The 24,632-nt window shown below is 38.8% G+C and overlaps 1 protein-coding gene and 1 long non-coding RNA gene across 6 annotated transcripts, besides 26 other annotated features; one reads left to right on the plus strand and one right to left on the minus strand.

Annotated features, from left to right (window-relative positions):
- Positions 1-1,443: 1,443 nt before the first annotated feature.
- On the minus strand, positions 1,444-14,990 carry LOC124900730 (uncharacterized). The gene is made up of 2 exons (XR_007058172.1): positions 14,860-14,990; positions 1,444-1,604 (listed from the first exon to the last, which is right to left on the minus strand). It is a non-coding gene; the product is annotated as an uncharacterized LOC124900730 (long non-coding RNA).
- Positions 14,689-16,931: a promoter, noted in NCBI's record as "-2267 promoter fragment". NCBI's record gives the evidence for it as "EXISTENCE:reporter gene assay evidence [ECO:0000049][PMID:23774402]".
- Positions 14,689-18,102: a biological region, named in NCBI's record as "SPP1 5' regulatory region". NCBI's record gives its function as "regulatory_interactions: SPP1".
- Positions 15,931-17,018: a promoter, noted in NCBI's record as "-1000 promoter fragment". NCBI's record gives the evidence for it as "EXISTENCE:reporter gene assay evidence [ECO:0000049][PMID:11861425]".
- Positions 15,941-15,950: a transcriptional cis regulatory region, noted in NCBI's record as "A/T element". NCBI's record gives its function as "mediates regulation by peroxisome proliferator activated receptor gamma" and the evidence as "EXISTENCE:site-directed mutagenesis evidence [ECO:0005528][PMID:11861425]".
- Positions 16,166-16,174: a transcriptional cis regulatory region, noted in NCBI's record as "ERRE-S1". NCBI's record gives its function as "mediates induction by estrogen related receptor alpha" and the evidence as "EXISTENCE:site-directed mutagenesis evidence [ECO:0005528][PMID:23680656]".
- Positions 16,193-16,213: an enhancer, noted in NCBI's record as "RAE (ras-Activated Enhancer)". NCBI's record gives the evidence for it as "EXISTENCE:reporter gene assay evidence [ECO:0000049][PMID:12650610]".
- Positions 16,241-16,249: a transcriptional cis regulatory region, noted in NCBI's record as "ERRE-S2". NCBI's record gives its function as "mediates induction by estrogen related receptor alpha" and the evidence as "EXISTENCE:site-directed mutagenesis evidence [ECO:0005528][PMID:23680656]".
- Positions 16,473-16,502: a protein binding site, noted in NCBI's record as "-443 site". NCBI's record gives the evidence for it as "EXISTENCE:protein binding evidence [ECO:0000024][PMID:18459127]".
- Positions 16,576-17,075: an enhancer, noted in NCBI's record as "H3K27ac hESC enhancer chr4:88896507-88897006 (GRCh37/hg19 assembly coordinates)". NCBI's record gives its function as "activates a minimal SCP1, AML or CMV promoter by ChIP-STARR-seq in naive and primed H9 embryonic stem cells {active_cell/tissue: H9 hESC(naive and primed)}" and the evidence as "EXISTENCE:reporter gene assay evidence [ECO:0000049][PMID:30033119]".
- Positions 16,687-16,702: a transcriptional cis regulatory region, noted in NCBI's record as "OPN/GLI site". NCBI's record gives its function as "mediates hedgehog-induction of promoter activity" and the evidence as "EXISTENCE:site-directed mutagenesis evidence [ECO:0005528][PMID:19556240]".
- Positions 16,761-16,794: a protein binding site, noted in NCBI's record as "-172 to -137". NCBI's record gives the evidence for it as "EXISTENCE:protein binding evidence [ECO:0000024][PMID:15479859]".
- Positions 16,766-16,789: a protein binding site, noted in NCBI's record as "-155 SRY site". NCBI's record gives the evidence for it as "EXISTENCE:protein binding evidence [ECO:0000024][PMID:26201802]".
- Positions 16,785-16,804: a protein binding site, noted in NCBI's record as "-147 to -127". NCBI's record gives the evidence for it as "EXISTENCE:protein binding evidence [ECO:0000024][PMID:14712233]".
- Positions 16,785-16,804: a protein binding site, noted in NCBI's record as "-147 to -127". NCBI's record gives the evidence for it as "EXISTENCE:protein binding evidence [ECO:0000024][PMID:14712233]".
- Positions 16,802-16,827: a protein binding site, noted in NCBI's record as "EBS". NCBI's record gives its function as "positive regulation of promoter activity" and the evidence as "EXISTENCE:protein binding evidence [ECO:0000024][PMID:21669963]".
- Positions 16,808-17,021: a promoter, noted in NCBI's record as "-124 to +90 fragment for core promoter". NCBI's record gives the evidence for it as "EXISTENCE:reporter gene assay evidence [ECO:0000049][PMID:7785924]".
- Positions 16,824-16,851: a protein binding site, noted in NCBI's record as "-108 to -80 Sp1 site". NCBI's record gives its function as "positive regulation of promoter activity" and the evidence as "EXISTENCE:protein binding evidence [ECO:0000024][PMID:17689681]".
- Positions 16,836-16,881: a protein binding site, noted in NCBI's record as "RE-1a; -96 to -51". NCBI's record gives the evidence for it as "EXISTENCE:protein binding evidence [ECO:0000024][PMID:11126367]".
- Positions 16,838-16,908: an enhancer, noted in NCBI's record as "RE-1; -94 to -24". NCBI's record gives the evidence for it as "EXISTENCE:reporter gene assay evidence [ECO:0000049][PMID:11126367]".
- Positions 16,847-16,867: a protein binding site, noted in NCBI's record as "AP-1 site". NCBI's record gives the evidence for it as "EXISTENCE:protein binding evidence [ECO:0000024][PMID:20609221]".
- Positions 16,853-16,878: a protein binding site, noted in NCBI's record as "-78 to -54". NCBI's record gives the evidence for it as "EXISTENCE:protein binding evidence [ECO:0000024][PMID:15479859, PMID:16009426]".
- Positions 16,877-16,886: a transcriptional cis regulatory region, noted in NCBI's record as "TIE1 site". NCBI's record gives its function as "mediates inhibition by transforming growth factor beta" and the evidence as "EXISTENCE:site-directed mutagenesis evidence [ECO:0005528][PMID:26584547]".
- Positions 16,882-16,914: a protein binding site, noted in NCBI's record as "RE-1b; -50 to -19". NCBI's record gives the evidence for it as "EXISTENCE:protein binding evidence [ECO:0000024][PMID:11126367]".
- Positions 16,921-16,930: a transcriptional cis regulatory region, noted in NCBI's record as "TIE2 site". NCBI's record gives its function as "mediates inhibition by transforming growth factor beta" and the evidence as "EXISTENCE:site-directed mutagenesis evidence [ECO:0005528][PMID:26584547]".
- On the plus strand, positions 16,935-24,632 carry SPP1 (secreted phosphoprotein 1). 5 transcript variants are annotated; one of them, NM_001251830.2, is made up of 8 exons: positions 16,935-17,021; positions 18,103-18,170; positions 18,280-18,318; positions 18,883-19,071; positions 21,267-21,347; positions 21,614-21,655; positions 22,696-23,019; positions 23,713-24,632. In NM_001251830.2, the coding sequence occupies exons 4-8, from the start codon at positions 18,940-18,942 to the stop codon at positions 24,115-24,117; spliced, it is 984 nt and encodes a 327-aa protein (NP_001238759.1). In that variant the 5' UTR covers positions 16,935-17,021; positions 18,103-18,170; positions 18,280-18,318; positions 18,883-18,939; the 3' UTR covers positions 24,118-24,632. The 5 variants fall into 5 exon arrangements, with proteins under 5 accessions (NP_001238759.1, NP_001035147.1, NP_000573.1 ...); NM_001040058.2 differs by lacking the exon at positions 18,883-19,071; NM_000582.3 differs by lacking the exons at positions 18,883-19,071; positions 21,614-21,655.
- Positions 17,060-17,088: a protein binding site, noted in NCBI's record as "OPN/NF-kappaB site". NCBI's record gives its function as "positive regulation of promoter activity; antagonized by Brms1" and the evidence as "EXISTENCE:protein binding evidence [ECO:0000024][PMID:17227585]".
- Positions 18,073-18,102: a protein binding site, noted in NCBI's record as "CEBP intron 1 probe". NCBI's record gives its function as "positive regulation of promoter activity" and the evidence as "EXISTENCE:protein binding evidence [ECO:0000024][PMID:12837040]".

The raw sequence follows: 24,632 nt of genomic DNA on the forward strand, positions 1-24,632 counted from the left end.
AGTGATATTACATCATGGGGATAAGCTTCAAGGAATAGTGTGTTTAAAATTGCAAAAGAAAATATATTAAATTAATGTGCAAAGGACCTTGACACAAATGCTCCATGCTTTGGGACATTTATTGAAATTTAGTTGCAGACTATTTCCTTATTGAGTTTTGCTTTTCTGCTTTCCTGGAATATAGTCATAAAGCCAAATTTGACAAACTTACACTGGTAAATCACATTCTGCCAAATTACATTATTTCTTTATACTCCCACAGAGATGTTTAATGACTATTTAGAAGAATAGAAAAGATGATGAAGACTCAAAAAAAATGTAATGTTCAACTTTTATAAAGTATTGTAAAATAATTTCTCAGTTTCAAAAATATTCTTACCTTAAGCACTCATTATATCTTATTTAAAAAAAAATTCTAGGATGTGTTAAAAACCACCCCCAAAACAGTAAAGTTTATAAGCTAATAGACATTCACAGCAACTTGCTCTCTTCTTATCCAATTGATACTTTCTTATCTTTAGTCAAAACAATGAACATTTATAACAACTTGGTCTGTTTTTACTAAATTTGGCACTTTCTTACCTTTAGTCCTTCCCTTAAAAACTCCTATAACAGGGTTCTCTGTCTATGGAGTAGCCATTCTTTTATTCCTTTACTTCCTTAATAAACTCACTTTCACTCTACGGACTTGCTCTGAATTATTTCTTGCATGACGTACAAGAACCCTCTCTTGGGGTCTGGATCCAGATCCCTTTCTGGTAACATCTTTCTGGTGACCACGGAAGGTACTATAGTGAGGAAACCCCCAACTCAAAGGCTACCTTTGGGTAAGTGATGGAGTCCAGTAGCATCTTCCTGGCAAACCCTGAAGGGACAATATTGAAGATACCCCGACCCAAGGGAAAATCATCTGTGTGTACCAATTGGCTGACTTTGGGTAAGTAGGGTGCATATACCTGGGTAAAGGATGGAATTGGGTTAGAGGCCCAATTTAGGGGAGTTACAGTCTCTCCTAAAACAGGGTGGGTAAAAGGCTCTTCTTAAGAAAATGCAAGGATGCTTGACCAAACTTGGGTCTGAGGCCCAATTTAGGAAGGTTAGAGTCCTTCCTAAGATTTAGGGAGTTAGAGTCCCCTCTCAGTAAAGTCCCTGTGGCTAAGAATGGGTTTGGCACTATGGGATGTTAACTACTATCCTCTTTGGATTAATCTGCCTTGCACTCTTTGCTGATCGCTATGGGTAACAGAATTAGGCATGTACAGGACCATGGGACATGAGGAGCTTTCTCCTCCCCAAAAGGGGAAACTTGAGAGCTGATGGGTCTGCTGGAAAAGATCCCTTCACTACCGACAGGTGGGAAATGCCATATTTTCCTTTGCTAAATCTGGCATCCCTATTGTCTAAGTCCATTTGTGCTGCTATAACAAAATTCCTAAAACTGGATAATTTATAAAGAACAGACATTTATTTATCAAAGTTCTGGAGGCTGGGAAGTCCAAGATGAAGGCACTGGCAGGTTTGGTTGTCTGGTGAGGGCTTCTCTCTGTTTCCAAGATGGTGCCTTGTTGCTGTATCTTCCAAAGGACAGAAATGCTGTGTTCTCACTTGGTATAAGGGAGAAGGGCACAAGAGGGGCAAAATTCTGTCAAACTCTTTGATAAGGACACTTAATCCCACTTATATGAGGGCGGACTCCTCATGACTCAATCACCTAAAGGCCACAGCTCCCAATACTGTTGAACTGGGGATAAATTTCAGCATGAGTATTGTAGGAGACAAACACATTCAAACCATAGTACTTACCATAGGGTTAAATATAAATTTCTGTTTTATCATGGGTTAAAAAATGTCTTGGTGATCAGACATATTGAATGGTGATGGCCACCCAATAAGATGTGCTCGGTATCAGTGGAGAAACTAGTATTTATCATTCTTATAAATAATCTTTTAAACTTTTTAATAAATTATTTGAATAAAACAATTTGGTTTAAAAATAAATAACTTGGATAGAAAAATCTTGGCTGTTCAGGCAAACCATCTTCTGAGACCTGGTCCTGCAATTAAGTAAGTATATGCCATTGAAAAACCATTTATCCTCTACAACTTTGTATTAATAAAATGACCATAATTCCTTTCTTATTGTGTTGAGAAGAGGTAGATTCAATTGTGAAAGTTTCTTTATACCCATTCGTCTCTCACTCTGCTCCATAGGCATAATCATTGCTGACCATTGGATGTGTAGCATTCTCACCATTTTGTGTACATTTTTATATGTGTGTGTATGTGCACATGTTCTTTTTTATTTACAAAAATTGAGTCATATTTTACATATTGTACTGAGACTTGCATTTTCATTTAAAAGTCTTGGATATCTAAAAGCACTTTTATTTATTTAATTTTACTAAATAGGTAATACATATTCTTTGTGCTGGGCTGAGTCTAAAATAGCCCACCGTGATCCCCAATTTGTGGTATTCATGCCCCCATGTAATTCGCTCCCCTTGAGTGTGGGATGGCCTAACAACTTGTTCTAAGGAATCTAATATGGCAAAAATAATGGGATGACATTTTCATGATTAGGTAACACAAAATTTTGACTTCTGTTTTGCAAGCAGACTCCTCTATTGCCTTCTCAGCTTGTGTGCTTTGATAAAGCGAGTTGTCATGTCGGAGAAGTAGGGATGCCTCCAGCAAACAGATAAGTGGGAACTGAGGCCCTCAGTCCAATAGTCCTCAAGGAACTGAATCCTGCCAACAACTATGTAAGCTTGGAAGCAGATCCTTCCACAACCAAGCCTTTGAATGAGACTGAACCCTGACTGACACTTTAATACCAGCTTCGTGAGACACTCTGATACAGAGAACGTAGTTAAGCTGTGCCTGCATTCCTGACCCACAGAAACTCTGAGATAATATATGTGTGTTGCTTTAATCTGTTAAACTGGTGGTAATTTGCTACTCAGCAATAGGTAGCTAATGCACACATTATACAAAATTTAAAAGCTATAAAAATTATTTCTCTGAAAATTTGTTTCCCTCCCATTCTTTCCTCTAGCCAATCAGATCCCTTTCCCAGAAGCAAACACAGTTACAAGCATCAATTTAGACAGTCAATCTGAAAGTACTTCAAATTTTTAAAGGACCATGCATATTAAAGATACTGATATTATTCTTATTACAATTCAAAGATTTACAAATGATTCTAAGATCTTTGATTAGTGAAAGTGAGAACATGAGACCAGCCTGGGCAACATAGTCAGACCTCATCTCTACCAAAAAAAAAAAAAAATTAGCTGGGCAAGGTGGCACATGGCCTGTAGTTCCAGCTACTCAGGTAGCTGAGGTGGGAGAATCTCTTGAGCCTAGGAGGTCAAGGCAGCAGTGAGTCATGACTGGGCCACTGCACTCCAGCCTGGATGACTAAGCAAGACCGTGTCTCAAAAAAAAATTTTTTTTTTAAAGAAAGTGAGGACAACAGGGATAACTACAGAACTATCCATAAGAGACTGTAAAGAAAAGGCAAAAAAATTAACAGGTAAGTAAAAGACAAGTGTCAGATAAGTTACATGTCAAATGCAAGTAGGATTATTTATACCTGGTACAAATTCAAAGTACAAGATTTTGTAAAAGGAACTGTTACTTATTACCAGAAAGGGATCAAAAGATCATTAAATACTTATCCCTAATATCATTGATTCAGTGACCCATGCCGACCATAACGCAAGGCATTATCAGGATGCATGAAAACAAAAGAGAAAGCATTGTATTGAATGGTTCAGAGCTATGCTCATGCATCTGACACAGTATATCGAACACAGTCCATTGCACCTCAAAACTGACTTGATGTAACTAGAAATGACAGGGTAGGGATGAGGGTGAAGGATTCACTCATATACTTGAGCTAAAGAATAGACTAAAATTAAAAAGATATTTCATCTGGAATAGAGGTGAGCAAACTTTTTCTGTCAGAGAGCAAATATTTTAGGCTTTGCAGGCCATATGGTCTCTATCACAACTATGCAACTTTACTGTTACAGCACTAAAGCTACAACATAAATGACGCGTAAATGAATGGGTATGGCCATGTTCCAATAAAACTTCATTTACAAAAATAATCTATGAATGGATTTGGGCAAAGGGCTTTTGAACTCCTGATCTAGAAAGATAAAGACAAATGATGCAAGCAGCTGAAGTCTTCTAGTTTCATCTGATTAGAAGCTTGAACACATCAGAAAAGAGCCAGCTGCCAAGAAGAAACCCACCTCCCCACCTCATAATGTCAATTCCAGTACTGCTTTCTGAATACATGGAATTGACTGTCATTGAGGGCATCTTTTTTTATTTGAACTAAATCTGCTCTAATCTTCATTCCTTGTGATTTTCTGCACTTTTAGAATTTAAGTTGTCTTAGAGCTGAAATGAAGCCACAAGTCAAGAACCATCCCCTTTTTTCTCAATGCCCTGCCTTCCTACCATCTCTCTTCCAGCTGGGAGAGTCTAGGACTGGAATCATAGTGCTAGATAGGAAATACTATTTTTAATAGAGGTCTCATTTTTATCTTTTAGGATTCTTATCACCCTTTTTTTTCAAAAATGCATTTTGGTTAACTGCATGGATACATACAATGTGTATTTTTAAACCATAACTGAAATTGATATTTTTATTTTGTTGTTTCAAAGCAACTAAAATTAACATTTACATGCCAATGTATAGAACTAAATGTTTTATATTTTGTGCAATATTTACTCCAACACTTAGCTTTCTTTTAGAATTCTTTCTGAATTCTTAGCTTTCTTTTAGTAAATTCCTCAACTGTTTACTCTATACTTTTATGTTTCATAAATTTTTGTTAAAAAAAAAAAACACTCAAATCCTGTGTGTGAAAGAAAGATCTACACACAACCATGTACCCGCTCAAACCTGGTACTATAGGATAAAAGTTTAATTGATCTTATTTCCTAATCCTAATCTGCCTGTCCACCTGGTTAACACTCAGGCTAGAAGATAGGACCACAAAAAATAAGTCAGCTGCCAATTTTATAAAACTGCTGTGGAAGTAAAACATGTTTTAGAAAAATAGATTTACTGTATGTAGGATTTCTATCCTTCTTAAAAAGTAAAATTTTTATACTCATTTATATTCTAGTCAGCGATTACAAAATGTTTGTAATCTTTGTAATCATCATCTTTATAATCTTTGTAATGAAACTCTGTCACCCTTTTCCTTCTAAATTCAGAATAACATCATCTCTACGATAAACCGGGTTCCTAAGAGACCAAGCTTGATGAAACAACATGTATGTTTTCAATCTTACTAGAGGTTAAGACACCACAATTTCACTTGTGTCTGAACCAACTCCTCGTAAACAAAAATAAAGCTGAAACCCCAGTCTGAGATGCTTTGGCACTGTCTAAAAACAGAAAAAGGCCACTTTACTGATCCCAGCCTCCACTTCCTCCCCAACCCAGACAAATGGGTGTACCCACTCTGCTGATATGTCACACATAACCTCTTTTGCTACTTCACTAAGAACTCTGGCTAACCCCTTAGCCCAGCTATGACCCACAGACCAAAAGACCACCAAAGGTTTAGGAATATCAGTGAAATAAATATACAGGAAAGGGTCAAAGCTTCAGCTCCCAACAATAAACAGTTTCTGACATAAGCTACTGTTTCCTTTAATTATGGTCATCTCCATATGAGGATGGTAGAGTGCTTTAAAATTCTTCAGGTTTCCTAGAATTTACCTCCCACACAATATTTGATCTGGTGAGAGGCAACTAAGACTAAAATTAATCTGTGAACACATCCTTACTAGTAAACGGAAGTCATTCAAAACCTTCAGAGAACATGACTTTAAGTTCTCAAATATAACTAGATGGGTTGATTTTAACTTGATCTCTTATTTATTTATTTATTTATTTATTTTCATAGAGACAGGGTTTTTGCCATGTTGACCAGGCTGGTCTTGAACTCCTAAGCACAAGCAATCAAAGTGCTGGGATTACAGACTTGAGGACCAAGCCTGGACAATTTAACTTGATCTCTAACTGCCACTGGCTACTTGTTAGAAGGTCAAAAAGCAAAAGGTATCCAAAAAACAGGTGGCCTAACTAAGAAGTAAAAGCAAATGATGCTGTGTGAACGATTCAGAAGTTGCGAGATGAATTTATCATTTAGTGGAAGGCAGCTGTAGCCTCTTTCTTCTCAGAAATAAGCCAACTTAACAATATTTAATTATGTGGTATAGGCAAGATAAAATTCAGGTTCCCAGATTCCCAACATGGGACACTATCCACTAAAACCTATACCACAGCTGATTCTCTTCTTGCAAAAGTGGGAAAAACAAAAACAGAGGATCAAGAGAAGCCCGCTATCCTAATCACTTATCTACTGATATTGCATACCATCTCCTTGTGGAAAAAATTAGTCACATACTTATTGTATAAAATAATCAACTTCAATTTTAACATATTAGTAACCTCGCATGAACTTATTCTGGCTTTTAGAAATGGGGGAGCAAAAATTAATAGAAAATAGATACATATAAAGTTATAGCACCATAACTTAAATTCCGTTTCATGAGTCTAGTGACCTGGAACACAGACGATAAAATCCAAAAGCTATGAACTGAGCAATATTATGCATATGGCATTGTGTTAATTAAGGTAACATCTGCTATCGTAACAGATGTCAGGCACTAAAGGCAATAGAAACTTATTTCTCATTCATACTGATGGCAACGGTGGGCCATCCGGAGCGGTTGCTGTCATCTTGCCAGCTGCAGCTGGGAGGCGCCAGCGGTGGTGGCAGGAGCGGCTGTGGGAGCAGTAGTGGCGGGTTGCGGGGGAGGGGGTACCCCTGTGCCCTATGTCCAATGTCTGGGAGGCAGCCGACTACGCCACCGGGACCCTAGCACTGCAGGGCAGGACCTATCCCCAGGCCCAGAGCCTCCGTAGCTCAGCCCCTGGCCCCGCGTTGCTGCTGTCACCCTCTGCTGCTGCAGGGAGGATGTGTGGAAGAGGCAGACAGTCCCCGAAGCCCACAGCCCTGGGGGCCACCACGATGGGGCCAGGCCAAGTCGCCCATGGGCAGGGGAGCAGCTGTCAGGCAGAGAGGGTCCCCAAGGCAGAACTGGGTCCAGGGCAGTGTGACGCTTGCACACAGAGCGTGGTGGCCGAGCCAAGGCGCTGACCTGGGGTGTGCTTCAGGGCCCCATGGCTGGAAGTGGGAGCAGTGCCCGCTTCAGGACCCAGCCAATTTTTGCAGTGACAGCACCCACCCCACCAAGCCAAGTTCCTGCACGTCAGGAGAAGGCTCTGCACAGGGCTGACTGGGGCTGTGTCCAGGGGTTCCGTCCCGCATTGAGGTGATCACCGGGCCTGACACTCTCAACTGCCAGGCCAGGCCCTGATCCACTCCCAAAGGGTCCCCCTCAGACAAGGCTGTGAGCTGGGTGGGCAAAAGCCCCGCCCTCCCAGGAGCAGGACCTGGGAGTCTGTGCAGTCTGCACCCTAGGGGGCCTGTCTGCTCCTGCTGCCTGGTCTCTCCCCACTCCTGGCACCCACTCCAATCTTGGAGTGGGGTTGGGGCCAAGCCGGAGAGCTGTCACAGCCCAGCTGGCTGTGCGCATGCTCCGGACAGCACTGACACACCAGCCCCCTGCCACCTCGGCCTCCTCCAGACTTTGGGCACTGATGAGTGTTGCGGGGAGGGAAGTGGAGGTGAGGATGAGGGCAGCTCAGTGCTGGCTTGCAAGTGCCCCTTTGTGCAAGCAGCCTGGGTGCCATGGACAGCCACAGGAGGCAGACCGGCTCCTGGGCAGAAGGGGGCAGGTCCAGGTGAGGCCCCATTTTCAGGCCAGGGAGAGCCTGAAGGCTGGGGGCCAGGCTGCCAGTCCCACAGACTGGAGCGGAGACTCGTGGTGTCTTTTCCAGGCCTGCCCATGGTTGCCCATGGACCAATTGGTGTGCACTTCTTCACCTCTGAGGTCCATAAATGCCCTGGGCTCAGCAACACCAGGGCAGAGGATGGAGAGATGAAGGGACAGCCAGCAGCAGAGAGGAGATACCCACTCTGCTGAGAACTGAACACTTTTCGGGATGACCTGCCTATATCTCTGATAGGAGCTGAACACTCGTCAGGACACCCTAGCTATGGAGAGGAGCTGCCCACTGTGAGTCTTCCCTGAGGTGTTCTGTTGCTCAATAAAACTCCTCTTCGTCTTCCTCACCCTCCACTTGTCTATGTACCTCATTCTTCCTGGTCACAGGACAAGAACTCAGGACTTGTGGAATGGTGATGCTAAAAGAGCTGTAACACAAACAGAGCTGAAATATGCCCCTTGCTCGTTTTGTTGGTGGGCAAAGAGGAGAGAAGAGCTGCAGCCCTTCAGGGAGCCTAGACCTGGGATCTCCCTGAGCTAGGGCTGTGACTCCCTTTTTGAGACCCTGTGGTCCCTGGTGTCTCTGAGCCTCTGGGCACCACCACATTCCCTAGTATGAGCCAGGACAGCTGCCTGTGGGGCGCTGGTCCAGCCACAGCCTTGAAGAGAGCTGGCGCCCATGTCGGCACCTGGAGCTTCCTGCCCCGCAGCAGCAGCTGGCGTGTCTGACTGCACAGTGGCCAGACTCTATGCTCATTCACACCCCATTGCCACTCCATGCCTGACTCGCGGCATCCCTTGGAGGCATGGGATCCAGGCCAGTAGCATGAGCTGAACACAGCCTGCCAGGCTGAGTGGGCAGAATGAGTCCAGTGGGCCAGAGGCAAAGGCACCACCGGCTGTATGTTTCTGGCCAAAAAAGCAACACTCCAAAGATCCTGTAACAATACGATATCTAATGCTAGGGTTCCAGATCAGCAGACAGCTCAAGTCATGTTCTCCCTGGGCTCTGCTATCCAAAATGCTTCAGTCCTCTTCATCTGGTGAAAGGGTAAGGAAGAAGACTATGGGGGAGGCACGCTTTTTGAAGTTTTTAGGCACTTCCGCCTGGAAGGGAAACACATCACTTTGTTTTACATTCCCTTAGCAAGAACTAGACATATGGCCACATCTAAATGCAAGGGAGGCTGAGAAATGTAGTTTCAGCTGGGCAGCTGCTTCCCAGCAACTACTCTGAAGACAACACATCTTTGGTGTACAGCCAACAGTACCTGCACAATTATTATGGTAGGTGCTACATAGAATTCAAATGTGGTAAGGCATAAGACCAACTATGAAACATGTCTTTCTGTAGAAATATGATACTTGTTAAAATACAATAAGCAATTTGTTCAAAGTTTAGAGAGTCAAGAAAACTAATATTTAAGATCATTGTATCTATTAAGAATGAAGCTAATGATATTAACCCATAATCAGTAGGTGTGTGTTTTGAACTGGTGATTCACAGCTGTTTGAGATTAGCAGAGACATACTGACACTCTCCCACACTGTATGGCTCATGACCATAGCATGGCGTTAGCTGGGTGGCATATGTGAAAAAATTAAGCTTTTGTTCTTCTTAGATTTGAACTTGTTAGAGGCAAGATTTTTGAAAATCCTTACAAAATTTCTCTCTTCGGTATCATTGGAACTTACAGCTTTTGTTGTATGGTTATTTGGGTTTTTGTTTTTGTTTTTTGTTTTTTTCTTTTCATTTTAACCAAGTTTGGTCAAATTTGGATGCTTATAATTTTGATTCACATCTTAGAAGTTAGTCTCTGGGGCCAGGCATGCGGGCTCGCGCTTTCAACCCCAAGACCACTTTGGGAGGCATTTTGGGAGCTGAGGCAGGAGGATCTTTGAGTCCAGGAGTTTGAGACCAGCCTGGGCAACATAGGGAGACCTCGTCTCTACAAAAATTTAAAAATCAGCCAGGTCTGGTGGTGCACACCTATAGTCTAAGCTACTGGGAAGGCTAAGGCAGGAAGAGCGCCTGAGCCTGGGAGGTCGAGGCTACAGTGAGCCGCGATCACACCACTGCACTCCAGCATGGGTGACTGAGCAAGATCTTGTCTCAAATAAATAAATAAATAAGTTTGTCTCTAAATATTAGCTCCTCAACTGAGCTGCATCTTAGCATCCTCTTGAAAGCTTTTCTTAACACTGATGTGTAGAACTAAACACTTCCTTCCCTGGAACCCTACTGGCCCTGTAAATATACACCTAATATTTATGCAAAGAGTAAATGCAATCAGGTAAACAGAAGTGACCGGCACATTAAATGGCTTCTATTATAGTTATGTGAAAAAATTGAGGTCATAATACCAAACTTATGTCATCGTTATGAATATTAGACAAAATGCATATTTTTAAATCTAGTACTTTACAGGTGTCCCATAAATATATATACAATTACCATTATTGTTGTTATTATTGTTGTTATTATTTTGAATATCTCTCCTTTTAAAAGGCAAAGACAGAAGTTTTGGGCTCACTCTTTGTTACTGTAGAAAAAGTAAATGTTAAGGGCATAATAATTACCAGAAAATTCCCTTGTTTCTTAGGGAAAAAACAAGCAGCAGAAATTGCGTTAAGCATGAAATGGCTGAAAAGAGGGCAAACTGATTCTGGATGACTCGTGAACAATATCATTAGATACAAAGTGAAATTAATAGGTTATCTAGACTAATAAAATCCACAGATGCTTGGAAATGAAGGAGATGTGAATGCGGGAAAGAAAAATCTAAAAACATCTCCAGATTATGGCGAAGCCCTATATGCCTGACCTGTTTGGCAATAAAACTACCCCCAAAAACCACAAGAGGCATTTTCCAGGAAAGAGGCAAGCCAATCTCTTCAGTCAGTTTCTCCTCAATCCCCTACTCTGGGTAATGAAATCTGAAAGAAATTCATGTGACCCATACTGGGAAAATGCCTCTAGAAAACCCATATTGTGGGAGGTAAGAATAAAAAATTCTCAGAACATGAAAGATTGATTTATTAAAATTGTAGGTTGGGATTGATTTACCTCCTTTTTTTAAAAAAAAGTTTTATTTTTATTAGTAGTATTATAATAATGCTCATTAATTTTTATCTATAGTTTAAAATATAGCAAAACACATGATATTTTACTTAAAAACATCATAACTCTTCGACTTCACCTGTCCCCTGGTCTATTAAAGACTCTTTGAGTTAAAATCTTTCTTCAGTGTGAACTTCTCTCAAGAGCATCTCTACTTCTACCATCTGTTTACTCCTCTTGTTGTAGTGTCAATATTTTATTCCTCATGAACTTGAAAAGGAAACATAAATCACAAAATTTTAGAGCTGAAATGGACCTCTAAAATAATCCAGATTAACTCTATCAAGGAACTTGAGACCTAGACAAGAGAAAGGATATGCCAGAACCCCATAGAAAAGAATTTGAGATGGGAGACAAGAAAATCTAGGCTCTTCAAATTCTGCAATGGCATTTTTAAAATGTATACATAAATTATTTTAAGAACCCAGTAGAAGCTCCAGCCTCTTGGAGTTTATACTAAACTCACATGCTACCTGGGCTACCATGGGATTAAACATTATTAAAATAATGCTCCTTCATTCACTTGTTCCTCTAAACATTTACAGAGCACCTAACAGGAAACTGTGGATACAAACATGAATAAATCCCAGTCCCTGACTGCTGGGAGTTTGCTTTTTAGCGTGAGGAGGACAAACATTTAAGGCAATAAAGCTTCATCGGTGCTATGCTAGATCAAGTGCAGGCTGCAGAAGGAGTTAAAAAGTGGGAGTTGGTTATTTCTATTTAGACCAGAAAAGGTTTTATAGGGGATGCTTTGATGCATGATGTGCAAATATTTCAGAGACAGGTGCGGATGAGACTGGAGGGATATTCTAGATATAAGGACCATGCAATGTGAGTAAAGGCATGGAGACCTGAAATAGAATGACACACTGGGGAACCCACATGGCTCTGCATGATTGTTTTAGGGAGTACAAGGAGAGAAGTTGGGCAGAAATAAGGCTGGAGAGACAGAAGAATGCCAGACCCCAGAGGACCTCATGTTATGTAAGAAATAGCAATCACCTGGGCAGTCCTTTTTAGGCACAGGAAGCATGCCTGAAGTTCTCAGGTGTAATTCACTCAAGCGGAACACTATCTATATTGGAATCTGAAGACGTTTAATTCAGGAGGCCGGGAGCGGTGGTTGATGCCTGTAATCCCAGCACTTTGGGAGGCTGAGGTGGGCCAATCACTCAAGGCCAGGAGTTTGAGACCACCCTGGCCAACATGATAAAATTTCATCTCTACTAAAAAAAAAAAAAAAAAAAAATTAGCTGGGCATGGTGGTGCATGCCTGTAATCCCAGCTACTTGGAAGGCTGAGGCACAAGAATCGCTTGAACCCAGGAGGCAGAGGTTGCAGTGAGCCGAGATCGTGCCACTGCACTTCAGCCTGGGTGACAGAGTGAGACACTGTCTCAAAAATAAATAAATATGTTTAATCTGGGGCTTTATGAAGGCAACAGAAAATAATCAGCAAGAATAACTCAATTTATGTAAGAACTATATACATGTCATAATTGAGCTAAATTTCTTCACTGAATAAATATTTTTGGCACATAATCTGCAGAGGGATTAGCATATCATGGAACTTACACTCTATGAGGAATTCAAACATTAAAGAAGAAATCAAATTTTAATATAGAATATTTTAAATTACAGGTTTAAGAAACATAAATGTTATGCTATGGGATAGGGGCATTAATGTAAACTATGCCTTGACAAGAATTGTCGAAACAAAAAACCTTAGCCAAGTGTAACCAGAAAAATATCTGACTGAGCTGCTTTTGTTGTCTAGTTTTACTCCCCTTTCTTTTGATTTTGTTTTCTCTTTTGCACTGAAATTGTCACCTTTTCATATCAACCTTATGATAGATTCTCTACCAAAAATTACTCAAACATCAGATTTTAAGCAAGAATTCTCATAAACCAATTTCGGAGAATGATTTTCTCCCCTCAAATATATCTGCAAAATGACTGTCACTGACCGCTTATTGCCACAAAATGTCTTTTTCTGAACAAACAAGGTCCTCCTGCAGCTGCTAGACTTTCTATTTGTGCTTTTCCACCTTGTTCTATCTCCCTCTTTGGATCCTCTCTGATTACAGCCTCCTCTATTGTTCCCCAGGTTGTTATAGGTCTCGAGTTTATGCTGCTGTGGTTGATGTTGAGTGGGAAGGGGGACTTTCTGTTTGGATCCAATCCCAGAATACCCATCCCTTCAACTCCAATGTGGACACAGGGTCTCTACCATATACCTTCTCTACCCAGGGTGCTGCCAAGTTTACTGTTTAGCCACACCCCCTTAATCTCATTGGTTACTCAAGTTTCAAATTTCCTAGTTGATTTTCATGAACAAATGGGCTCCATGAGGGTAAGAATGGTGTCATTTAAGAAAAAAAAGTTAGTAATTTAAGTCTACCTTAAAAAAGTCTATCATTTAAAGAGCATTAGAATGTCCTCAGAGTTACTAATACTACTTTAATGAAGAAATAAATGCTAGATTCTTGAGTACAGGCAGATATTAGATATCAATATATGAGATATACTCTGAATTCAAGCATAGTGCCTATGCATTGTATTCATAAGCAAAAACTATAAGGTCAGAATTCGTGTCATAGATGCAGGGCTGAGTGGGCAATCACCAACAATTTATTGAGCACTTACTCCATAACAGTTCTATGTGTCTAAAGGAAAACTTTTTTTTATTTGTTTTAAATTGAAACTAATGTTTACCAATGGTACGACCACTTTGTCAGGAGCTGACTTTTGTTGTCTAAGCTATTGAGCAATGGAATAAAAGAGTTTATGGTGTTTTTGTTTTTTTTTTTTTGTATTTCTGAAATGCTCTAATTTCATGTCTGAACTTGAAAATAGCACCCTCTTATCATCCACCTTTGCTTGCTACCCTGTGATAAATAATGCCCCTTTTCCCAGTCTATATATGATGAATGGTGCTAGGCTTCCGATTAGCTTTAATTCCAAACTTCTTTATGACAGATTAGTGGTGTTACCAAAATATCAGAGTCATGTCTGAACCTTGACTCAAGGGAAAAAAATAATTACCTGTGGAGCTGAAAACACTGAAATAGTTGGTTACACTTTACTAAGTAAAATATAATTAGAAATGTTCAAATAAACTGGAAGTGAGTTTAATAAAGTTGTCCACCAAAGTAGTGACATTGAACACTTACTTTTTATTATATGGGAATTTTCATGTAATTCAGGAAAAAGACCTTAAGGCTCTTTATTTGTTTCCATGTGTCCTCTTAGTGTGTATAATTTAAGATCACAAATTACTCTTTGCATTCTAGTTTGACAACTAAACTTTTTTTACTTTCCACTCACAAGATTTATAGGGAATTTGTGCATTTTGACCTTTTGATTCTAACAACCAATCATTAGCCAATCAAGAATGGAAACTTTGGAAATATTACAGATAGAGCCACTGTGATTTAAATCATTTAACATGTTAATTCTGACAGAAAATCCTACTCAGAAAAAACAACCAGCAGCAGCATGTTTGAGTGCAAACAGCAAGAAACATCCCAAAACATGACCTCCCCGATAGTCAGAATGACGCAGCATCCATTTCCTACTTTACAGAATTGCCTCCCATTATAAATCACTTTATCTTCTCAACTCCAAAGCATCCCAGACACATTCTTTACCCGTGAATTCACAAGCCTTTTCTCTGAGAGAGGCCTTGGGACTAGGAACTTTTTGAATGAGTGTAGAAGTCGGGAAGGAGACAATAGTGTCAACTTGGGATTGCCTAAGGCAACAACAGAGCAAAACAAGAACGCTTTGGTTCTCTGGGTCTCTGTCCCTGATTGCATAGCGGGTCATTGTTGGGAAATATTTCCTCACCTGGCATTCCAAGAAATGGAGAGCTCCACAGCTGTATATAGTCCTGTCATTAAATACAGGAGTGTTCTATCCCGCTGGAATTAAGAAAATTGGTAGAACCAGATTGTGGTCTGAAATCTTTTTTCAGAAATGCTGCCATCGTGTGGCACTGCGGAGCTATGACCAGAAGAGTCCTGTAAAGGGTCGTATGGTTCATCTCAAGATGGCTGGGCTCCAGCATAATCTATTCCTATAATTAATTCTAGCTTCATATTGAATCATTCCCGTGGGCACAGAGTAAACTACAGTAAATCCTGTGGAAATTTTGTTGTTTTTAGAATTTTCAGACTTCCCTCCACTAAATTGACAACATGACACGCTTATGCGGGTATGTTTAAAGGAAAAAAATAGTTTTTAGAAGCAGAAAAAAGAAGTCTATTTTGCAACTTTATAATCTGTGTGCTTTCTATTTTATAGAGATAGTCGTCATCTTACTTATTAAAATGGGTGCTTATTACCTACAAACCAATCATATCAATTCATCTGGAATACATCCAATTTAAGGGAGACATATTTCCCCCTACCAAATGTTCATGAAACCTATGAATTAGCTATACACTATCACTGCAAGACATTATTTAATCTATATTTATATTAAAAGTAATATTTGGCAAAAGGAAGCTGACACTTTAGGACTAATAAAAACCACAATTACTTTTGCAGCAACCTAATAATAAATAGGACCATTTATTTTTCATCTCAATTACACACAAGTCTTAACAATAAAGGTGTAAGGTAAATAAATAGTGCAATCTGCATTTCACAACTGAGAAAGCAAATGAAGATAAGTAATCTCAAGGCAATATTAAATATTTTAAAAGGACCCAGAGCTCTGCTATCCCTGAATTCTGCTCTAATATTCGGACTTTCCCTGTAATTTTCTTTCATTCAGACACCTTTTAAATACCTAGTAAAGTGTTTTTTAATACAGAAATTTTTAAAAATGTTTTTCTTTTTAAGTGGCCTACTTTACATACCTTGGGAGAAAAACTAGAAAAAAAGATGATTCCAAAATCGAATCTGTTCCTTTAGAAATGTGCAAAATTTCCTTATTGATGCATACAATTTAAAGATCTTACGTCTACTCTCATTTTAATAACCTGTTCTTTTAAAGGACATTACAATTCGTGACTGCCTGCCCCTCTTAAAAATTTCATAATAGTTAACACACATATAGTCCTTAAGATACGCAGAGCATTTGCATCTAATATGTGCTAAGCATTGCTAGTTTAACATACTAATTCATTTAAACCCCTCAAAAACCCCATGACCTAGGTAATAGTATTGCATTTCATGGATGAGGGAACAAGGATAGGTAGGCTGGGCGATTTGCCCAAGGTTGCACAGGTCAGCAGTGACACAGCGGAATTCAGAACCACGGTCTGGCTCCTGAAGCAGCCCTCTCAAGCAGTCATCCTGCTCTCAGTCAGAAACTGCTTTACTTCTGCAACATCTAGAATAAATTACCATTCTTCTATTTCATATAGAATTTTATATTTTAATGTCACTAGTGCCATTTGTCTAAGTAACAAGCTACTGCATACTCGAAATCACAAAGCTAAGCTTGAGTAGTAAAGGACAGAGGCAAGTTTTCTGAACTCCTTGCAGGCTTGAACAATAGCCTTCTGGCTCTTCAATAAGTACAATCATACAGGCAAGAGTGGTTGCAGATATTACCTTTATGTTACTTAAACCGAAAGAAACAAAAATCCATTCTATTTAATTTTACATTAATGTTTTTCCCTACTTTCTCCCTTTTTCATGGGATCCCTAAGTGCTCTTCCTGGATGCTGAATGCCCATCCCGTAAATGAAAAAGCTAGTTAATGATATTGTACATAAGTAATGTTTTAACTGTAGATTGTGTGTGTGCGTTTTTGTTTTTTTTTGTTTTAACCACAAAACCAGAGGGGGAAGTGTGGGAGCAGGTGGGCTGGGCAGTGGCAGAAAACCTCATGACACAATCTCTCCGCCTCCCTGTGTTGGTGGAGGATGTCTGCAGCAGCATTTAAATTCTGGGAGGGCTTGGTTGTCAGCAGCAGCAGGAGGAGGCAGAGCACAGCATCGTCGGGACCAGACTCGTCTCAGGCCAGTTGCAGCCTTCTCAGCCAAACGCCGACCAAGGTACAGCTTCAGTTTGCTACTGGGTTGTGCATTCAGCTGAATTTCATGGGGAAGTCCAAATTCTAAGGAAAAATATTTTTAATTGTAATGCTGTTAAACAGACTTAAATTTTCTAGCCTTTTTAATAAGCAGATTAGATACATTGCAGGTCTCCTGGAACAAAGGTGTCTAGATATTTTGAATGCCAATCAAATTTAAAACTTAAAAATACTTCCACTGGGTCCTCAAAAGAACGGAAACCACCGATGCTAATCAGAAAATAGTAAAATTAAATTCCCCTTTGGAATAATTATACCTATATAATTTTCAGTGGGTGACTGTGCAGGAATTTAAAAGAAAAGGGATCTTTTATGCTAATTAAACCAATTACAATGCTATTTTTTAAATGATGTATCTCACTTTTAAGGGGAAGAAAACCCTTTCTGAATATGCCACTGCTAAATTTAGCTGTTAAAATATTCACCAAGATACCTGTATGACACTGTGTAGGCTTATTATTACAAATAGAAAAGCTGTTGGCTATTTTCAATGTTTTCCTTTGAATTTCAAATTTTTAGAACATCTTACTTAAATAACAAATTTCAGAGATAGTTTGATTTCACCTAAGTAGCACCTACTTGATAATTAAGCTAAAAGTCACATTTAAAGTACATGTTGGAAAAATGGATAAAGCAAATTTTTTTCATTTTTTTCTGTGAGTTTTTTCTTCTCTAAAAAATATTCCCATACTAGCTTATTAATATAATTAAGTTACTGTTGATCTGTTTGTAGGTTTAGAGAGCTAGATATATAAGGTAGTAATGGTATAATTTCTGGAACTCTAAATTTTAAAGTTGAATAAATACAGACTTGCAAAATTTCCCTTTCCCTTGCCTAATAGTGAAAGATGGATAATAGGTGGCAATATAAATATTAACTTGAAAGACTATAATACTAAAAAGAAAAGGCATCTCTAAGAAGTAGAAAAGATTCTATAGAAAATATATTTTATTTGTGATCATTTTGTAATGTGGTAGTATAAAAAGGTATCACTGTTGTAACCTATGAAGATGTCAGCTATTCCTTATGAAATATTTTGCAGGAAAACTCACTACCATGAGAATTGCAGTGATTTGCTTTTGCCTCCTAGGCATCACCTGTGCCATACCAGTGAGTACAGTTGCATCTTAAAGAAAATTCCTGAAAATAACTGAATTGTGTGCTTCCATGTGCTAGGAGGACATTCTTGTAATCTTTCTTCATCTTTTCTGTTTCTAAGGTTAAACAGGCTGATTCTGGAAGTTCTGAGGAAAAGCAGGTAAGCATCTTTTATGTTTTTATATAGTTAAATCATTTACTCAATTATGGCGAGAGGTGCAAGAAACGTATTTGCTGCGATATTACTTATCTTCTCAGTCAAATCCATTGGTTTACAAGTATTGATTGACTGCCTGCTATGAATCTAGGCCAGTACCAAGCACAGTATAGTTTTTAATAAATATAAGTTTATAAAACCAACCCAGATATTTTAAATATAATAATATCTAGGCATGTATGATGAGTTATCGCATGTAAGATAAGTTATATGAAGTTGTGTGACTTTTTTTCCATTAGTCCACATACTGATCTAAAAGCAGAAAATTCCAGCTTTTGCTTTGTTTAGTGGATTGCTAAGTTTAAAATTCACATTGGATATTAGTCAGAACTGTTTGTATGACCATAATATTCACAATATTGTCTGAGATATTAGCTGAGAAGCCCATTGTGAAAAGAAAGTCTATGTGTGCTGTTTGTATCTATTGTGATTGTCAGCTGATGTTAGATCACATTTTCTAACCAAACATAAGACCAACCAAACTCTTTATTATAATTATTTGACCAGCACTAAAGATGTACCTACCCCTCCACAACAGATGAAACTGTGCCAGCCAAACAACAAATGGGCATTGTCCCCAGAAGCTTGGACAAAAAGGCACACAGAGTTCAATTCCAGTTGAACAGAATAAAGGCCAAAATAGAGCTGCCTTGGGGGTCACTGCAATTAGACTGCTTAATGAAGACATTAAAAGAAGTATTCTGTGTTCGTTTGTGTGTGGAGGGGTGTGTGTGTCTGTTTTTCAACTGATTTGAAAATACAGGTGTTGAATCCTAATAATAAACCAGAAAAATTAACATCTCCAGAGAAGATAGAGGTCATACTATTTGAGGCAAGAATTAGCGTCTTTTTAATAAACGAAAATATGGCAAAGATGCATTTTAGAAGGCACGTGGAGCTATAACAATTTAAGAAATACGTGAAGAGCTCAAGGCTCAGCCTTCTAGAATCCCAGAAACTTAAAGCTAGTAAAAAATTGGGGAAGTCTCTAAGGATATATGCCTGAAAATACACACTGGTTATCTGTGAGTGTTAGGATTACTGGGTGGTTTTTAGTCTATTCATTTTGCTTACCTTTATTTTCTTCATATTAGTTTTTAAAAATTATAAATGTAACTTATACATCCATTCTCTCTGAGCCTGTATTACATGTGTCATGAGAATAGATAGATAGATATGAAAAAGTGAAGAGAAAAACTCTGAACTCATCTGGTCTCACTGTTTTTCCGCCTTCTTTTTTTTTTTTTTTTTTTTTTTTTGAGACGGAGTCTCGCTCCGTCGCCCAGGCTGGAGTGCAGTGGTGTGATCTCGGCTCACTGCAAGCTCCGCCTCCCAGGTTCACCCCATTCTCCTGAGTAGCTGGGACTACAGGCGCCCGCCACCACGCCCGGATAATTTTTTGTATTTTTAGTAGAGACGGGGTTTCACCGTGTTAGCCAGGATGGTCTCCATCTCCTGACCTCGTGATCCACCCTCCTTGGCCTCCCAAAGTGCTGGGATTACAGGCGTGAGCCACTGCGCCCGGCTGTTTTTTCATCTTCTTAAAGCAAGGAACCCCTTCTTTCAGCAAAACCTTTCGGAGAAGCCCAATACTAAGCTCCTCTGGTTAGAGCCAGCCATGAGAGAAACTCCAAGTACTTCTGACTGGTTCTCTCTCTACTCATCCACCCCTTAGGTGGCTGCAGAAGGAACTCTGTGCAACCCCCAGAGTTCTCATTCTCAGTGACAGGGAAATGTAATGATTGGCCCTGGATGATTCAGCAGATCAGATGATACTTACTCAGAGCAATTTCCACTCCTTTGCAGTAGCATATTATCAGTATTTTCCAGATAAATAACTTGGCTAAAGAAAAATCCATTTCATTTACATCTTTGGCACCTTACAGCAATAGAACTTTTGTGCAATGATTTTAATATTATATTTCTACATTGGCTGATAAGATACATATGGCTATTGAGCACTCAAAATGTGGGCTAGTGCAACTGAGGAACTGAATTTTTATCTTCTTTTTTTTTTTTTTTTTTTTTGAGATGGAGTCTTGCTCTGTCACCCAGGCTGGAGTGCAGTGGCGCAATCTTGGCTCACTGCAAGCTCTGCCTCCTGGGTTCACGCCATTCTCTTGCCTCAGCCTCCCCAGTAGCTGGGGGTACAGGTGCCTGCCACCACGCCCGGCTATTTTTTTTTATTTTTATTTTTTTTAGTAGAAACGGGGTTTCACTGTGTTAGCCAGGATGTTCTCGATCTCCTGACCTCGTGATCCGCCTGCCTCGGCCTCCCAAAGTGCTGGGATTACAGGGGTGAGCCACCGTGCCTAGCCATTTCATTTTAATTAACTTAAATTTAAATAGCTCCATGTGGTTAGAGGATACTGAATTAGCACAGTCTTAGAGAGTTCCTTCTTGTTCCATGGACTGGACACAATGAAGATTAACAGTAATTAAGGTCACTTCTGGTTTAGATGTGCTTTATCTGAGAGGAAAATTCAGCCAGCAAACATACAAAAAGAAAGCACAGTGTGAAGTTCGGTGTTAAGAGCTAGTTTGCCTGCGTTTGAACCCTGCCTGGCTCTGCCATTTCCTACCACTTAACTGCACTGTGGCTGAGTTTTCTGATCTGTAAGGTGGGAATAATAATGATACCTATCTCATAGGGGAATGAAAGGATCAAATGAGTTCATATTTGTAAAGCAATTTGAAAGAGTGCCTAGCCCACAGTAAGTGCTACATAAGAGTTTGTTAAATGAATCTGCAAAAAAAAAAAAATTACAAAAAGGTACCTAAGGGTCCGGGTGACTATATGCTTCCATCAAGACTAGTGAAGAATGGTTGTTTTTTCCATTCATCCCTACATTTCTTTTTTTAATAATGATAAACATGCAACTTTTTTGTAGCTTTACAACAAATACCCAGATGCTGTGGCCACATGGCTAAACCCTGACCCATCTCAGAAGCAGAATCTCCTAGCCCCACAGGTATTTTTAAACTTCTCATAATTAAACTACAGTGATGAAAGATAGCCACACTCAGGCCATTTGGGCTGCTCAGATGAATCCTGCCTGCCTGCTGGCAAACATGTGCTTAGGACATTGACTGATCTGCCATGTTGGCTTCTCTCTGTGTTAAGCCATCCACAGATGAGGCTGAAAAATAAAAACTGCTTTGGATTAAAAAGGTTAACTTTTGAATAAAAAAGCTAGGCATGTGTGATGCGCACTAACACGTGCCATTCCTTCTTCAGAATGCTGTGTCCTCTGAAGAAACCAATGACTTTAAACAAGAGGTAAGTTCTCATTTTCAATCAGAGGCCCATCATGCCTTGAAGAGATGAAAGAAGGCATTGCCTGGATTCTCTTCTGATGAAATTTCATTAGCAAGTTTTCCAGCTAATTGGCAGTCTAAAACTTGCTCATAAATAAAACATGTATTTACTAAATATCAGAAATACTAGGTTTCCTCGGATAAGTTTAGCATTACAGAAGATGTTTATTAATGCCTGTTATTTGAAACATTAATCTGCTTGCAATTTATTTAAGGTATTTTGTAGATATCTAATATCTAATAAGCATCTAATTAATGCATATCAAAGCTAAGATTTTGCCTTTAGGAAAGTTTTCTTTCCTAATAAAATAGTTTATTTGACAACTATTCTTTTTATTAGGATCATTCATATATTTGCTAAGCAAAGAGTAAATTTATTTTCCTTAAGATTCAATTTGAATATACTAAGAATATTAAAGCAAGTTAGATAAATTACCCAATATATTTGTCAATTTGAAATTTGATAGACATTAGTTGTTTAATTCAATGGGCAGTTTTGAGCTGCAGTTTATACACACATGCATAACAGAGTCACCTTTCAATTATCCATGTTAATAGGAAAGTGGTTATAGATTTTAGTACACACATTAAAATATGGATACTCTTCTCTTTTGATAAATCTCATTTCAAATAAAAAAACCAGTCTCATAATTATGTATCTGTATCTATTACATCATTGAATTTAGTAAATAATGTTTAATATGTATAAGGAAAAACAATGTTATTGACATGAAGATTATACTCACATATTTGGCTTGAAAATATCTATAAAAATAATTTCTGTTGCAAAGTAAGAAATGTTCTTCAGAATGTTATTAATCCCTGTGTTAAAAGAGAAATTGGAAGATGCTCACTTTAGCTCCTAAAAGCCATGGTATGTACTGTGAATGCAAAGATTCTGAAACTAAATAAAAAGAAAGATAGTAAAAGACTAATGTGCTATAAAGGCTAAGGGAAAATAAAAACCCATATATTAATTTTCCCGGCCATCTTAATTTTCAGACCCTTCCAAGTAAGTCCAACGAAAGCCATGACCACATGGATGATATGGATGATGAAGATGATGATGACCATGTGGACAGCCAGGACTCCATTGACTCGAACGACTCTGATGATGTAGATGACACTGATGATTCTCACCAGTCTGATGAGTCTCACCATTCTGATGAATCTGATGAACTGGTCACTGATTTTCCCACGGACCTGCCAGCAACCGAAGTTTTCACTCCAGTTGTCCCCACAGTAGACACATATGATGGCCGAGGTGATAGTGTGGTTTATGGACTGAGGTCAAAATCTAAGAAGTTTCGCAGACCTGACATCCAGGTAAATCCTTTAACAGACACACCTGATGGTTCTGACTAGCGCTCAAGTCTAGGAAACCACAGTTTGCATATTCATTCATTCATTCATCCATTCATTCATCCATTCAGCAAGAATTCATTCATATTCTACTTTATGACCATTGAATACAAATCTTTTTCTGCTTGGCGGTTTTTGTAAGTCTACATAATTTCTCTCTAGATTTGATTCTCAAACACAATTCTACTTTTTGAAATCCTGGATCACTTATTTTCAGATTAAAATAAATGGAAAACACCAATTATTTAAAAAAAATAATGGTCATGTTTTGAAGTTAAATACCTAAGAGGAATTGTAGTTGCAAATTACACTGAATCCTTAGTCACAGAATCTGGATTTGACATAGCCTTGCCGTTTACTATTCTCTTTACTTTTTAACTAACAATTCACTTCCTCTTTATGTAGGTTTCAATATAATGAAACCTACCTCATAGGTTTCATTACATATGTAAGTGATGTAGTTATTAAACTAAATGAGATGACATATGTGAAAGGCCTTGGTAAAGTACTATACAAAGTAACATGCTAGTATTATTTCAGCCAGATTTAGACAATTTTTAGTATAAGATGACCTAAAAGCTAGAGAGTGGAAAAGGATTACCATATTCCCATCCCTAGCCGTTCATATAATTATTCTTCATTTGTGCCGTGATTCAGTACCCTGATGCTACAGACGAGGACATCACCTCACACATGGAAAGCGAGGAGTTGAATGGTGCATACAAGGCCATCCCCGTTGCCCAGGACCTGAACGCGCCTTCTGATTGGGACAGCCGTGGGAAGGACAGTTATGAAACGAGTCAGCTGGATGACCAGAGTGCTGAAACCCACAGCCACAAGCAGTCCAGATTATATAAGCGGAAAGCCAATGATGAGAGCAATGAGCATTCCGATGTGATTGATAGTCAGGAACTTTCCAAAGTCAGCCGTGAATTCCACAGCCATGAATTTCACAGCCATGAAGATATGCTGGTTGTAGACCCCAAAAGTAAGGAAGAAGATAAACACCTGAAATTTCGTATTTCTCATGAATTAGATAGTGCATCTTCTGAGGTCAATTAAAAGGAGAAAAAATACAATTTCTCACTTTGCATTTAGTCAAAAGAAAAAATGCTTTATAGCAAAATGAAAGAGAACATGAAATGCTTCTTTCTCAGTTTATTGGTTGAATGTGTATCTATTTGAGTCTGGAAATAACTAATGTGTTTGATAATTAGTTTAGTTTGTGGCTTCATGGAAACTCCCTGTAAACTAAAAGCTTCAGGGTTATGTCTATGTTCATTCTATAGAAGAAATGCAAACTATCACTGTATTTTAATATTTGTTATTCTCTCATGAATAGAAATTTATGTAGAAGCAAACAAAATACTTTTACCCACTTAAAAAGAGAATATAACATTTTATGTCACTATAATCTTTTGTTTTTTAAGTTAGTGTATATTTTGTTGTGATTATCTTTTTGTGGTGTGAATAAATCTTTTATCTTGAATGTAATAAGAATTTGGTGGTGTCAATTGCTTATTTGTTTTCCCACGGTTGTCCAGCAATTAATAAAACATAACCTTTTTTACTGCCTA

This window comes from Homo sapiens, chromosome 4 (assembly GCF_000001405.40).
Source record: "Homo sapiens chromosome 4, GRCh38.p14 Primary Assembly".
Lineage (NCBI taxonomy): Eukaryota > Metazoa > Chordata > Mammalia > Primates > Hominidae > Homo > Homo sapiens.

Coding starts and splice junctions, on each gene's coding strand:
- SPP1 (NM_001251830.2), top strand. CDS start 18,940: ATGGGCATTGTCCCCAGAAGCTTGGACAAAAAGGCACACAGAGTTCAA. Junction 21,348..21,613: donor AGAATCTCCTAGCCCCACAG/GTATTTTTAAAC, acceptor TTCCTTCTTCAG/AATGCTGTGTCCTCTGAAGA. Junction 23,020..23,712: donor TTCGCAGACCTGACATCCAG/GTAAATCCTTTA, acceptor GCCGTGATTCAG/TACCCTGATGCTACAGACGA.